Source organism: Homo sapiens, chromosome 19 (genome assembly GCF_000001405.40).
Source record: "Homo sapiens chromosome 19, GRCh38.p14 Primary Assembly".
Classification (NCBI taxonomy): domain Eukaryota; kingdom Metazoa; phylum Chordata; class Mammalia; order Primates; family Hominidae; genus Homo; species Homo sapiens.
The window spans coordinates 56,427,448-56,443,338 of NC_000019.10; the positions used below are offsets into that span (position 1 = coordinate 56,427,448).

At 37.8% G+C, this 15,891-nt stretch overlaps 1 protein-coding gene across 20 annotated transcripts in view; it reads right to left on the reverse strand.

The window, feature by feature from the left end:
• Positions 1 to 11,881: 11,881 nt before the first annotated feature.
• ZNF667 (zinc finger protein 667) overlaps positions 11,882 to 15,891 on the reverse strand; it is a 38,765-nt gene continuing 34,755 nt past the window's right edge. For all 20 annotated transcript variants that reach the window (XM_024451637.2, XM_024451642.2, XM_047439212.1 and 17 more), the window contains one exon: positions 11,882 to 15,294. In XM_024451637.2, coding sequence (XP_024307405.1) covers positions 13,715 to 15,294 — 1,580 coding nt within the window. In that variant the 3' untranslated portion in view covers positions 11,882 to 13,714. The remainder of the gene's footprint in view (positions 15,295 to 15,891) is intronic.

Here is a 15,891-nt window from a genome sequence, read left to right on the forward strand (position 1 = left end):
GTGCTTTGGCTGGGTGCGGTGGTTCACACCTGTAATCCCAGCACTTCGGGAGACTGAGGCAGGTGGATCATGAGGTCATGAGTTCAAAACCAGCCTGGCCAAGATGGTGAAACCCCATCTCTACTAAAAATACAAAAAATTAGCTGGGTGTGGTGGCAGGCATCTGTGATCCCAGCTACTTGAGAGGCTGAGGCAGGAGAATCACTTGAACCATGTGGCAGAGGTTGCAGTGAGCCAAGATCATGCCACTGCACTCCAGCCTGGGCGATAGAGTGAGACTCTGTCTCAAAAAAAAAAAAAAATTATTGTGCTTTTGGCCAGGCATGGTGGCTCACGCCTGTAATCCTAGCACGTTGGGAGGCCGAGGCGGGTGGATCACCTGACCTCAGGAGTTAGAGACCAGCCTGATCAACATGGTGAAACCCTGTCTCTACTAAAAATACAAAATTAGCTGGGTGTGGTGGGGCTACCTGTAAACCCAGCCACTTGGGAGGCTGAGGCAGGTGAATGGCTTGATCCCAGGAAGCAGAGAATGCAGTGAGCTGAGATCGCGACATTGCACTCCGACTTGGGTAACAAGAGTGAAACTCGGTCTCAACAACAACAAAAATTAGTGTGCTTTTAAAGAAAGTTAAAAGATAAGCAACAGGAAGGAAGAAACACATAACGGACACATGTAAGAACACATATAAGTCAATAAGTAAAGGACAACTAAGCAAGTATATAAATGTGCAAAGATGAGAATGGCCAAATTGTGGAAGACATACAGATGTCTAAGTCTCTGCTTAACCTCATTAGTATTAAGTTATGCAAATTTGCTCATTTATTATTTATTTATTTTGTAGAGATGAAGTCTCACTTTGTTGCTGAGGCTGGTCTCAAACTCCTGGGCTCAAGTGGTCCTCTTCCCTCAGCCTCCCAAAGTGCTGGAATCACGGGTGGAGAGATTCAAATTGAGACAGTATAATACCAGATATTGGTCGTGGTGTGGAGACAGGATTTCTCATCACAGCTACTTTAGAGGCAGTGAAGTTTTTAAAATGCTCACTATAGCCACTTTGTAGGGTACAGTTAGTATTTGAAACACTGAAAACAACCTAAATTTCTATCAGTAAAGTAATGACTAGGAGTTCTATGCTGGAGTTTAAAAGAATGGGCTGATAATATTGATACGAATTTGACTAAAGGACTTACTGGTTGAAAATGTAAAAATTTCGCATACACTATTGTATATTTAAAAATATATTTTATTTCTAATGCATTTATAGAAGTATGCAAATGCTTAGTGAAAGTTCTGAACAGACACCCAACTGATAAATGTTTCCTCTAGGAAGGGACTGGTATTGGATGCTCTGGTCAAAGGAAGATTTAGTGTTATTTGTACTGTTTGAAGTTTTAAACATCAATGTAATAATTAAAAAAAAAACTTTAACATGAAAAAATTGAGTTTACAACGAACTGGACACCTAGAATGAAAAGTTGGCAGTCTAAGTTAAAACTCTTTTTTGGAATTTGGAGCATCTCTCCTTGACTTGCCAGCCCTTCCCAGGCATACAGATACCCTGGTAACCCTTCCAATTTAGGCAAACAGACCTACAGTGGAAATATACAAAGGACCCCCTGGCATTTACCTATGGTAATCAAACCATGTAATACTTAAATGGCAACTGATAGCTAAGTATCATCACTTGAAGAAAACCACCAGCATAATAAGGACCAAGAGATATAATTGAATCCTGAGTGGGGAAAGTCATGTAATAACAGAAGAAAATGAAAAATTGATTTTAGCCTGCAATTTGAAACTACAAAATAAAGGGAACAATTAGATAAGAACTAAGAAATAAAAAAATACACTGTAATAAATTTAATAAAGGTTAGAAAGAAAAGAAACCTTAGATGCATAAATTAAAAAGAAAAATGAGAAAAAGGGACATGGAAATTTACAAGGTCCAATATCAATGTTTTGGGAAAAATTTCACAGAAAATATAAGAATGTATCGAATGACTGAGAATCTTTCTAAACTGAAACAAGGCAAGCATGTTCAGCTTGGGTTAGCTCACTGAATGTTGTATAGGATGAACTAGGAAAACCACAACAGGAAAATCCAGAAATATGCTTGTGAAATTTCAGAATATTAAAGAAGAAAACATTCTAAAAGCTTTCAAAAATGATTAGGTCACCTAAAAAAGAACAACAGTCAAGATGATTTTAGCCCTTCCTCCTATCATAAATATTGGATAGAATACAGAATAGCACTTTCCAACTTATGAGATAAAATTACTTTGGACCTAGAAGTCTATACTTGGCCAACAATATTTAAAGCATGAGGCCAAATATTGATGTTTTCAGTCATGGAATTTATTTCCATTATCCAGGATATTAAAGGAGTCACTCAAGCAAAATGTAGATGAAAAAGGAAGAAGACAGCAGGATAGGCTGAAGTGAACAGTGGCTGTAACCCAAGAAACTGGAGTTGAGGATTACAAGGATACCCACTTGGCAATAAGTGTAGAAAACAATCCAACCAAATTATTGGTAGACTAAGAATCCAGGGAGCCAGTGAAGAAAAACTTTTTGAAGGATGGAATGAGTTCCATTAAACAGAATTCATATGAAGTTGGAGGATCTTAGCAATATGATGGAGATAAAATTTTGTTCATACGAGAAGGAAAGAAAGATAATTACTGGCTCTGGGAAAGACAAAGAAAAAACCAAACTAGATATCATAGTCTTAACGTTAAGCAACTCCCCATGAAATGTTGCATGATTTTAGAAAACTGAAAAAGGAAAATCCATTTGATATGACGATAGTTCCCTTTGAGTGAGTACTAAGATCATAACATTGGATGTGTAGAGGAGGAATGTAATCTTTACATATTACTTGGCTCTGGCTCTTCAGAGAATAACAAATGTTGGTAGTAATGCAATGCTATTTTATTTTATACATTTAGAATATAGAAATCACTGAAGTATTATCTGTAACATAAATATCTAGTAATGTGAAAGGCAGAATATAGCTGATTGATTGGATGGTGGAAGGTAGATTGGAAAATGAAAGATTGAAGCAAGGATAAGTGGCAATAATCTCATTGTGCAGAGGAGATTCAGGAGATCTGCCTAAAGTTGACAGAATAAGAAAATACAGGTTAGCTATATTTCAAGTTAAAAATGCAACAAATGTGATAAACTCACATGGGATGACTTACATCCTTTCCTTTCATAAAAGACTTATAAAGAGCGTATAAAAATAAATCCAGAAACAGCAACAGTAGTCAGGATTGATAGAAACCAAACAAAATTAGTTTAGGAAACAGGTTATTGATTCTTGTAACTAAAAAGCATTGAACATGTATGGCATAGTGTTAGGCTGGATTTAAGTGCTCAGACTTATCAGAGGTTTGTAACTCAGCTCTGCTTTCAGTAGTTTCCTTCTCTCCAGGTTCTGTCTCTTGGTGGGAAAGAAATGGCATCTGAGGATATTAGACTTAAAATGTCCATAGAATATTTAATCTCAAAAGTAGGGCAATATCTCTGTCTCTCTGCCTCCGTGTCAATCCCTGGGAGGAAAATATGATTTGTTTCAGTTTTGGCTGTGTGCCCACTCTGAACCAGTCATTGGGTCCATGGTATGTGGGGTACTCTAGCCAGCCTGTGTCAAGTGTACATGCCTCTTCCAGAGAGACTGAATCACTGAACTGACCAATTCACAAAAAAAACACACAGAATTGGGGCTGGTTGAAGGGAGGTTGAGAATCAGCTCTCATAATGGCAAAACCTGACCTGAATTGACATGAGGGTATTTATTGACATTGATCCCAGTTAGTATAAACATTCATATCTTTTTCTTCAGAAATATTAATTTGTTCAATTCAGGGGTGCTGCCTCAGACTCTGTAGCATAGGTAAGTTACATGTCTGTGGGTCAAATGGACATAGCACACAGTGGCTTGTAATTAAACTGTCTTGCCAGTAATCCAGAGAAGGTTGCATGATAAAGTAACCCCAGCAGAAAGAGGCTGGGGCTGTGGTGACAAGAATTGGTTTAGCATCACCTGGATCCAGCATGCCAGGGGACTTCAGGGGAGTTCCTTTTAAGACACTCCACAGAAGGCCTCCCTCACAGCAAGTGTAAGAGATACAACCCACAGAAAGTGAGACAGTTCACGGGGGTTCCTTTTAATACACTCCACAGAAGGTCTCCCTCGCAGAAAGTGTCAGAGATACAACTCACAGAAAATGAGATGGTTTGCATGTATAAAGGAAAGCAGATCTGATCTATAGAGACTGTGGCCTTCAGGTAAGGAACTTCATTTTCCTACTCCCTTATCCTATTCTCCACAGCAGAGTGGTAGACTGGTGTATTCCCACAAGGAAACAAGTTTGAATATATGTGTGAGAAGCCTTTAAAAATATTTACTAACTTCTGCATTTAACAAGATGGAATTAAGTAGTTTCTGTTTGTTTCTCCTTTCTGAAACCAAGTTAAAGCAACAAGAGTAAGAAATGCATGTAGAGGCTTCGTCTTTAATGAAGTGAAGAAACATCTATAATTCTGAGCTTCAAAATCCACAAAGAGGTGCGGCTAAATGTGGTGAGAATCCTGGGAAAGAAACTACTGCTGCATTGAGGAGCACAGAATTTTCCTAAAGCAGCAGCATATCTGGAAGGGCAAAAGAAAGGGCACCTTGGTTGCAGCCACAACATCACTTCAAACATTCTGGCTTTGGAAGCACTCGTAAACTCTATTATAGTTGCAGAGTGTCGTGTGAGTGACAGGAGGGCTTAAGGAGGAAATGCATGAGTTTTAAAATATGGTTTATCATGTAATCCCAGCACTTTGGGAGGCCTAGGCGGGTGGATCACGAGGTCAGGAGATCGAGACCATCCTGGCTAACATGGTGAAACCCCATCTCTACTAAAAATACAAAAAAATTGGCTGGGCATGGTGGTGGGCGCCTGTAGTCCCAGCTACTCAGGAGGCTGAGGCAGGAGAATAGCGGGAACCTGGGAGTTGGAGCTTGCAGTGAGCCAAGATCCCGCCACTGCACTCCAGCCTAAGCGACTGATCAAGACTCCGTCTCAAAAAAAAAAAAAGGTTTATCATGTAATAGAGGAAATAAAATACTGCCAGTGATGTGCAAGAATGCAAAGTAAAGACTAATCCTTGCTACTCAAAAGTCTGCGCCATGGAATAACAGCATCAGCATCACCTGAGAGTTTGTTAAAATTCCAGAATCTTGGGCCTTAACCCAGACTTAATCATTCAGAATCTGCAGTTTTACAAGATCTCCAGATGATCTGTACACATTAAGGTTTCAGATTCACTGGGGTAAAACCAATTATCTGCTAGTGTAAAGCACTGTCCTTTGATAAATAAGTAGATCAGGAAAAGCTCATTTCATTCAAAAATTAAAAACTCCAGCCATTCGCAGATCTTATCGATAATGGTAAGCTCAAAATTACAGAACACCCCTTCATTAAAACTGAACAAAATGAAAAGAATGTGCTAGCATCATGGAATGAGAAAATTGCACTACCTCATATCACATACTTGAAAATATAATACAGAAATAGTAAGTTCACACTACAACAATGTGCCAGCATCTTTGGTAGTCTCTGCCCTCTGGGAAAAGCAGAGCGAGAGAAAGTCTCCATAATGGAGGAAAAGTCAGAAGAAAATCTGAAAAAATTTCACTGATATATCCTGATAGTTGTGTGGGGAAGGGGGGAGATGCAGGCAGCAATGAACAAACATACATAAAATTCCTCTTAAGAATCCTACTTCACTCTAGATAGTAGTTTGGATAGGAAAGACAAGTTGGTAATATATGTTAAATATACCTACGTTTTGACCCAATAATTTATTCTCTAAAAATATTGGTAAATCTTTACAAAAGCATATGTACAAGAATGTTAATTGCGATATTATTTAAAAAAATTAAAAATCCTAGATTCCTCATTATTACCGCCCTCTCTAAATGCTTATCTGAGATCTACACTTCTGGCAAAGATGGAGTCCTAGGGAATAATTTAATCTCCCACCTGAAATACTAAAAAACGACACCAGGCAATAAAATAATGATCCCTGAGAAATTAGAAACAAATGAGGTGAGTCCTATGATTTCCCCAGACAACTGCATGTAGTTTCCAGGCTGTGGTACAGATCTCCACGAATTAAGGTGATGGAGCTGGGAGTCAGGGAGATCAAGGTGGCTAGAGTTCCCAGGATAGAGAGTTTGAGAGGAGACAGCTCTCAGAAAAGGGAAAAAAAAGCATCTAGTAATCTACAGTGTGTTCCTCTTTTTTTTTTTTTTTTTTTATCTGAGTACAGATCAGAATATGGATGTGAAGCAACTACCTGAAATTGGGGAAAGAACTTAAAGAACTACAAGGAGAAATAAACAAATCCAGAATTATAATTGGAGATTTCAGCATGCCTCTCAATAGAACATATAAATAGAAAAAATAGTGAGGATATTGAAGACTTGAATATTATCACCAACTTGACCTAACTGACATTTGTGGAACTATTCACCCCAAGAAGAGTAAAACACACATTCTTTTCAAATGAACCCAGAACATTCACCCAGACAGACAATAATTCCAGACCTTAAAACACATATCAGTAAACTGAAAAGGACTGAAGTCATACAAAATATGTTTTCTAACCAGAATGGATTTAAATCAATAACAGAAAAGTAATTAGAAAACACCCAAATATTTAGAACAAAAGAGCACACTTTTCAGTAACCATATTTCTAAGAAGAAATCAAAAGGGAAAATAAATATTTTGAGTTGAATGAAACTTAGAGAAAAGTACATCAAAATGTATGGGATGTACCACAGTACTTGGAAAGAAATACAGTGGCACTAAATGCCAATGTTACAAAACAAATGACTCAAATCAGTGACTCCTATTTCCACCTAACAAATTAGAAATAGAAGAGCAATGAAACCCAACGTTAACACAAGAATGGAAATAATAAAAATCAGAATGGAAGCCAATGAAATAGAAACCTGAAAAACAAAAGCTGGTTCTTTGAGAAGGTCAATGAAATAAACAAAAAAATTGCAGACAATTAAAAAAGAGATTATACAAGTTATCACTATCTGGAATGGCAGATGTGATATCACTACAAATGATAGTTATTAAATGAATAAAAGAATGTTATGAACTTTATGCAAATAATTTGACAATTTAAAAATTCTTGAAAGAAGCTAACAAGGTTTACTGAAGAAATACTCAGTTCTATATTAGAAAAATGGAATTTGTGGCCAAGCGCGGTGGCTCACGCCTGTAATCCCAGCACTTTGGGAGGGCAAGGTGGGCAGATCATGAGCTCAGGAGATCGAGACCATCCTGGCTAACATGGTGAAACCCCGTCTCTATTAAAAATACAAAAAAATTAGCTGGGCGTGGTGGTGGGCGTCTGTAGTCCCAGCTACTCAGGAGGCTGAAGCAGGAGAATGGCATGAACCTGGGAGGCAGAGCTTGCAGTGAGCCAAGATCCCGGCACTGCACTCCAGCCTAGGCGACAGAGCAAGACTCTGTCTCAAAAAAAAATGGAATTTGTAATTTAAGCCTTCCAAATATTTTCAGATGTCTGTGTTTACTGCAACTGTAATTCTGGTATAGTCAAGGAACATAGTTTGCAAAATAATTTTTTTAATTTATCAATATTTATACTCTGTCTTGGTAAATGTTTCATGAACACTTAAAAGGAATGTGTACCCTGCCTGGATTGTTTGGAATATTTTATATTAACAAATGTCAACCAGGTCAAGTTGGTTGATTATGTTGTTGAGGTCTTCTATATCTTTTTTTTTTGTCTACTTGTTCTATTAATTACCAAGAGGAGTGATGAAGTCTCCAATGACAATTGTCAGTTTGTCTTTCTCTCTTTTCAGTTCTATCATTTTTCCTTGCAATTCAATGTGTACTCATTTAGAATTACATTTTCCCGGCCAGGCGTGGTGGCTCATGCCTGTAATCCCAGCACTTTGGGAGGCTGAGGCAGGTGGATCACCTGAGGTCGGGAGTTCAAGACCAACCTGGTGAAACCCCATCTCTACTAAAAATACAAAAATTAGCCAGGCATGGTGGCAGGCACCTGTAGTCCCAGCTACTTGGGAGGTTGAAGCAGGAAAATTGCTTGAATCCGGGTGGTGGACGTTGCAGTGAGCTGAGATTGCGCCATTGCACTCCAGCCTGGGAGACAGGAGTGAGACGAAACTCTGTCTTAAAAAAATCAATCAATAAATAAATACATTTTCCCAGTAAACAGAACTTTTATCATTATGTAATCTCACTCTTTATCCCTGATTGTATTCCTTGTTCTGAAGTCTACTTCATCTGATAGTAATATAGTCATTTCTGCTTTTTTGTTAATGTTTGCGTGGTGTATCTTTTTCCCACCATTTTTCTATGCCTTTATATTTAAAGTATGTTTCTGGTAGACAGCATATAGTTGGATACTGCTTTTTCATTCAATCATAGAATCTCTGTCGTTTAACTGGTATATTTAGACCATTTACATTTGATATTTTTAAATATATAGTTAGATTAAAATCTCCACCTTGTTAACTCTATCCTAATTGTTCTGTTCTTTAGTTTTTGTTCTATTTTTGCCTTCTATGATCTAAATGACCATTTTTAATAATTCTATTTTATATTATTGTTTACATCTCATTGAACATTTTCAGTTGTTACTTCTTTAATTGGAATATACATTCAAATAATACACAACTTAACATGTTAGTATTTTATATATTCCCATTTTCTCCGACATCCATTATGCTTATCATATTTTACTTTCATATGCTGTTTACATGGTACATTTTTACTCTAAGACAGCCAGTTACTTTTTAAGATAAGTTTTTAAAGTTATTACCTTCATGTATTCCATTTCCGCATCTCTTCATTTCTTTATGTATCTCCAAATGTCTGCTGTGTTTCATATTCCTTCTGTTTGAAGAACTTTTCTTGTAGAGTAGGTCTTCTCTTAATGTATTATTTTCTCAGTTTTGTTTCTCTGAGAGTATTTCTCTATCAGTTTGAAAGATTTTCATGAGCATTTCATGAAGACAGATTTTTTCCTTCAGCTCTTAAAAGATGCCATTACATTGTCCTCTGGCCTGCAATACTTCTGATAAGTCTGCTGTAATTTTCTTAACTTTGTTCTTCTATATGTAATTTTTTCCCCTCTCTAGCTTGCTTCAAGATTATTTTCAGTAGTTTGAACATAATATGGCTGGGGTGGTGTGTGTTTGTGTGTGTGTGTGAGTGATTTTAATATTTACCTTCCTTGAGGTTCTCTGAGCTTCATAGATTTGTGTTTTCTGGGTTCATAAATTTTGGAAACATATTGGCCATTATGTCTTCAAATATTTCTTCTGTCCCATTTATTCTGTATCTTCTGGGATTCCAATTATGTGTATGTGTTGGACCAATGGATATTTTCTCAGAGCTCTTGGATTCTCTGTTCCTTCTTGTCCTACCCTACCCCACTTATGTTTCAGTTTGAGTAACTTTTATTGTCCTAACGTCAAGTTCATTTACTTTTTCCTTGACTATGTCAAGTATATTGATGAGCCTGTTGAAGACAATTGTTCATGTGCTTATTGAGTTTTTTCATTTCTAGTATTTCCATTTTATTCTTTTTGTTATTGTTTGAGACTGAGTCTCGCTCTGTCTCCCAGGCTGGAGTGCAGTGGCGTGATCTCAGCTCACTGCAAGCTCCGCCTCCCGGGTTCCCGCTATTCTCCTGCCTCAGCCTCCCGAGTAGCTGGGACTACAGGTGCCCACCACCACGCCTGGCTACTTTTTTTTGTATTTTTTAGTAGAGACGGGGTTTCACCGTGTTAGCCAGGATGGTCTCGATCTCCTGAGCTCGTGATCCGCCCACCTTGGCCTCCCAAGGTGCTGGGATTACAGGCGTGAGCCACCACGCCCAGCCCCATTTTATTTTTATAGTTTTTGTGTCTCTGCTCAAATTATCCATCTAATCTTGCCTGTTGTGCATTTTCCATTATAACTCTTAAGATACTACTCATAGTTCCTTTAAATTCCATGTCAGTCCAACAGCTATGTATTTCTGAGTCTAGTTCTGATGAATTTTGTTTCTTGGTGGGGTAAGGTGTTCATTTTTGCATTTTTGTATGCCTTGCATTTTTTTTTTCCTGAAAGCCAAGTATCTTCTGTAGAACAATAGATATGAAGGTAAATGGATTTAATTCCTGGAAAGGGCATGTCTTTCTATGTAGCCTTTAGTGTGTGGGAGGTGGATGGGTAAGATTTTTATAATTATAGCTAGGAATTGAGGAAGGTTTATGGTTTGTTGTTGCTGTGGTTATAAGTTCACCATAGGTTTCAGATATGAATAGTGATTCCTTATCTTTAGGGTCCGAACTGGTTTTCCCAAGGGTCTATCTCAATGTCAGGGTGATCTTCAGGTTTAGGTCCCATTGGATTATGCTTCAGATAGCCCATCTATACTAATATATTTTCATTCATTCAAATACTTATTGAGTGCTAACCATTGAATTATGTGTCATTGTACTAAACGCTGGAACTTGTAACTCCCCAAATACTTTATTATTGTTTGCCATTATTTTATCCATCTGTAATTTTCTCTTTAGCTTTCCAACTTTTGTGTGCCTAGCAAATTCACATTCTTCCTTTAATATTATCTGCAAAAACAATCCCTGTCCCCATACCTCCATCACCATGAAGTTTATCATCCTCTTCTCCGTACTACCTATGCACCTTATACAGAATTCCATATTTTATTACCTGAATTCCCTGGTAAACTGTAAGTGTCTGCTGGCAAGAACAGTGTCTTATTAGTTTACATATCCACAGGATTTAGCAGTGATTGGTCCAGGGTGTTTACATGCACAACAAATGTGCAGCGAAAATATTTGCTAATGAAAGCTGGAAATCTATAGGCATCTATTAAAAGCAAAATACTGTAATAATGGGCTCTCTTACAACAGTCTAGGAGTAAAGCAAAACATTTTTCTTGCCAGTTAAGTTTTCAGGACTTTAAAAAAACACAAAGTTGATTTCCTTCTTAGTTTGGATATATTTTTTAAATTCATGTAATGCAAAATAATTTAAATAATAAATGATTCGGCCTATTAGGATATAATTGAGTTCCAAGCAGTTGGGAGGACACATGAACCCAAAGTTACTTTACCTTTATTGCACTTTCACAAATGCCTTTAAGAGCTTAAGAATAGGAGAGAATAGACAAAACTAGATGAAATGAGAATTTTTGACTGGGCCAGAAATAAAGCAGTGAGGATATGCAATTCTCACAAGTAATTCCAAGTTAAGTTTAACTGTATCATGTATTGCCATTCTAATGCTCTCTTGAAATCCCCAAGAGGAGCAAGAAATGCAATAGGCAATGAGATAAGCCTGAGGAAATTAGGTGACTGTGGGCAGGGCATTCTCTTGCTTCTCCCTAGTCTTCAGGTGTGTCACAATTCATTTGGGACTGACATGTATTTGTATGGCAGATTGGCAGAGGAATTAACAAGCTAGAGGGTGTGTGTAGAAAAGAGGGGGAAAAAAGACCTGCCTCTCCATGAGTTACCTCTGTGCTGTTTGCTCACCCATTTGCTCCAAGGGGTGGATTTTTATGCTTGCTTTACAAATACGAAAGAACAAGTTTAAATGGGAAGTTAGTTGTACTATCCTGTATGCATGCTCACCCCTCACAATTTGGATTGTTGTTTTATCAATTGTGGTCAAAGTTAGGATGACCTAACCCATATACATTCCACACATTCCACAAAGTCATCTTAAACTTAAGGTATTCTCAAAAATAACTTTTACAGAAGGAAAACTTAAACAGAAGAGCCCAACTGTGTATGATCCAATTACAAAAAAGTTATCTGATTTTATTTCTTATATATTTGGCACAAACAGCAGAGACTGAAAGCTACTACACATGTTGAACTGCTGACAGGAAAAGAACCCAGTAGATAAATCTAGGCTTTCCACTCCATATATTAGCTGGGGCTGCCATAACAAAACATCATAGACTGGGTGGCTTAAACAACAATTTACTTCTCACAGTTCTGAAGTCTGGAAGTCTGAGAACAGGTCGCCAGCATGGTTAGGTTCTCGTAGGGTTCTCTTCCTGTTCTGTAGACAGCTGGCTTCTTCCTGCATCCTCACATGGTGCAGAGAGCAAGCAGGCTTTCTGATGTCTTTTTGAGACGTAGTCTCGCTCTGTCGCCCAGGGTGGAGTACAGTGGCGTGATCCTGGCTCACTGCAACCTCCGCCTCCTGGGTTCAAGCGATTCTTCTCCTTCAGCCTCCCGAGTAGCTGGGACTACAGGCACATGCCACTGTGCCTGGCTAATTTTTTGTATTTTTTTTCAGTGGAGACGGGGTTTCACCGTGTTAGCCAGGATTGTCTCAATCTCCTGACCTCATGATCCACTCGCCTTGGCCTCCCAAAGTGCTGGGATTACAGGCATGAGCCACCGGGCTCAGCCTGATGTCTCTTCTTATAAAGGCACTAATCCCATCACGAGGGCTCCACCCTCATGACCTCATCTAATCCTAATTGCCTCCCAAATGCCTCATTTCCAAGTAACATCACATTGATGGTGAGGATTTTAACATAATTAGTTTTGGGAGGGACATAAACATTCAGTCCATAACAACTCATATTACACCACTTATTGCATACCAGTATTGTTACATGAAAATACCAATGTTTACTCATATAAATATAGATGATTTATTTCCAAATAAAACAATACTGATTTCTCCTGGCTCTGAAATCCTCATTCTTCACTATATCTTGGTTCTTTTACTGATAGCTTGTCTCAGCCAAGTTAGACGTTCACACCATGAAGATCATATATCCTCATATCCGTGGAGATGGTAAAGTAAGGTTTCTACTGTTACACACCATTATGAGTGACAACTTTATCTACCTAAAGACTCACTTTTCTTTATTCTCACCCACAAGTTTGTCAGCTGAAAGTGGCACCCTGTTTTGCCGAGAAGTTCCTTATATTTGATAATTCTAGATCTGAGAAACAGACTCAAATTCTTTTTTCTGTGACCTTAAATCAGGCTCAGAGCCCTATAATGGACTTCACAATTCTATTTTGTTGTATGTGACCAATAAATTATCTTTAAAACTATGCTGGAAGTAAAATATCGGTAATTTTTTTTTTTTTTGACACAGAGTCTTGCTCTGTTGCCCAGACTGGAGTGCAGTGGTGCAATCTCTGCTCGGTGCAACCCCCACCTCCTGGGTTCAAGCGATTCTCCTGCCTCAGCCTCTCCAGTAGCTGAGATTACAGGTGCGCACCACCACGCCCAGCTAATTTTGTATTTTTTAGTAGAGACAGGGTTTCACCGTGGTCTCAAACTCTTGACCTCGTGATCCGCCTGTCTCAGCCTCCCAAAGTGCTGGGGTTACAGGTGTAAGCCACTGCGCCCAGCCAGTAATTCTTATCAAATGAAAAATGATCTTCATTCACAATGACTGACCAAACTTCTGAGTTTCCTTCAGTTAATTTCAAATCCTGAGGTCAAAATCACCAATGACTTTTGCTCTTTGGCTTTCAAAGTGGGACATATCATCAAATGGTCCCATATACACAAAATTTACATTATAGACAAATACATATTTGCCATATGTTTGATAGCCTCATTCGTTGATTTTATAGATTTAAAACAACCTTAGGCTTTTTCTTCAGAATGTGTATTCTGATGTCGAATCAGGGATGAACTCCGACTATATGCCTTCCCACATTTACTACATTCATAGGGTTTCTCTGAAGAATGACTTCTCTGATGTCGAATAAGGTCTGAGCCACTGCTAAATGCCTTCCCACATTCATTACATTCATAGGGTTTCTCTCCAGTATGACTTCTTTCATGTAGAATAAGAGATGTGCGCTGACTAAAGGCCTTACCACATGTTTTGCATGTATATGGCTTCTCTCCAGTGTGAATTCTTTCATGTTGGGCGAGGTGTGCACTCTGGCTGAAGGCCTTCCCACACTGATCACATTCATAGGGTCTATCTTCAGTATGAATTCTCTTATGTCGTGTGAGAGATATTCGGTGGCTGAAGGCTTTTCCACATTCCTCACACTGGTAGGGTTTTTCTCCAGTATGAATTCTTTGATGTTCAATAAGAAATGATTGGCGGCCGAAAACTTTACTACATTTATTGCATTTGAAAGGTTTCTCTTCAGAATGAATATTCTGATGTATTTTAAGGTTTGCAGTTCCAGAAAACATCTTCCCACATTCCTTACACTCAAATAGTTTCTTTTTCTTTGTATGAACTTTCTGATGTTGAATAAGGGATGAATGCCGATTGCAGACCTTCTCACATTTATTGCATCTGTATAGTTTTTCTCCATTATGAATTCTTAGATGCAGAATAAGGGTTGAAAGCCGCCTGAAGAACTTGTCACATTTATCACATTTGTACGGTTTCTCTGAAGTGTGAATTCTCTGGTGAAGCATCAGGGGTGAAATCCTATTAAATAATTTCCCACATTTTCTGCATTTAAAAGGATTCTCTAAATGGTGACTTCTTTGCTGTAGACTCTGACTTAAGGCCTTCGCATTTTCAGGGATTTTCTCTCCAGCATGAATTCTTTTATGTACAACAAAGACTGATTTCTTTTTGAAGCCTCTCCCACATTTATTATATTTATGTGTTTTCTTTCCATTGTGAATTTTCTTATGAAGTAAAAGGGATGACATCTGATTGAAGGCTTTTCCGCACTTTCTGCACTGGCAGACATTCCCAACAACATGAATTTTCTGATGTATATTGAAAGACTGACATTGACTCAAGGCCTTCCCACAGTCAAGAATTTCCTTTCCATCATGAATTCTCATATGTAGAATAAGGGTTGTTCTTTGATTGAAGCTTTCCCCACATTTATTGCATTCATGGCTTTTCTTTCCACTGTGAATTCTCTGATGAAGTAGGATGGATGAGATCTGTCTGAAAGCTTTTCTACAATTACTGCATTCAAAAGGCTTCTCTCCTGTATGAATGTTCTGATGAAGTTTAAGAGAGAAGCTTCGACTAAAGGTTTTACCACAGTCATTACATTTTAAAGGTTTCTTCCCTGAATGCCCTTTCTTAGGTTTTACTAGGACTGAATTTTTGTTGCAGCCACTCTTTCGTGTAGGAGCTTTTTGTTGTGCAGAAACTAGTTTCTGGCAGATGCTTTGCCCAGATTTGTTGCATTGATTTGGAGGTAACTTCTTGGTCTCACATTTAGACCCCGAGTCTGAAAGACATAAAGGAATTAAATGTTTCTCCTTTTCCATGCTGAAAAAATGAAGATTCTACAATATAAATGTAATTATCATTATTAATCACAACAACAATTATGATTACCAAAACATAACTTTTTAGTGTTTTATTGTGGTTTTGATGACTATACTAAAGGCTTTACAGAGATATTTAATAACCAGAGTTCAGAAGAGTGTAATTTGAAAATGAATAAGATTTTATTTATACGATAACTTTTATGCCATATACGGCACATTGAACTCCACAGGTTGTTCAATGGATAAATGTATGTTTATTAGAGAATGTGTCCAGAAAAGGTAAGTCTACAGAGACAGAAGATAAGTGGTTGCCTGGGGCTCAAGGTAGGAATGGGGATTAACTGAAAATGGACATGAAGAATCTTACAGGGGTGATAAAAATGTTCTAATACTGGATCATATTGATGGTTACACACTCTGTAAATTTATCCAAAATCATTTAATTATATTCTAGATATAGTGACTTTTATGATGTTTACCTCAATAAAGTTGTAGATTTTAAAAAATGTATTCTTAAGATCAAATTTAAAAAGAACTAGTAAAAATTAGAATTG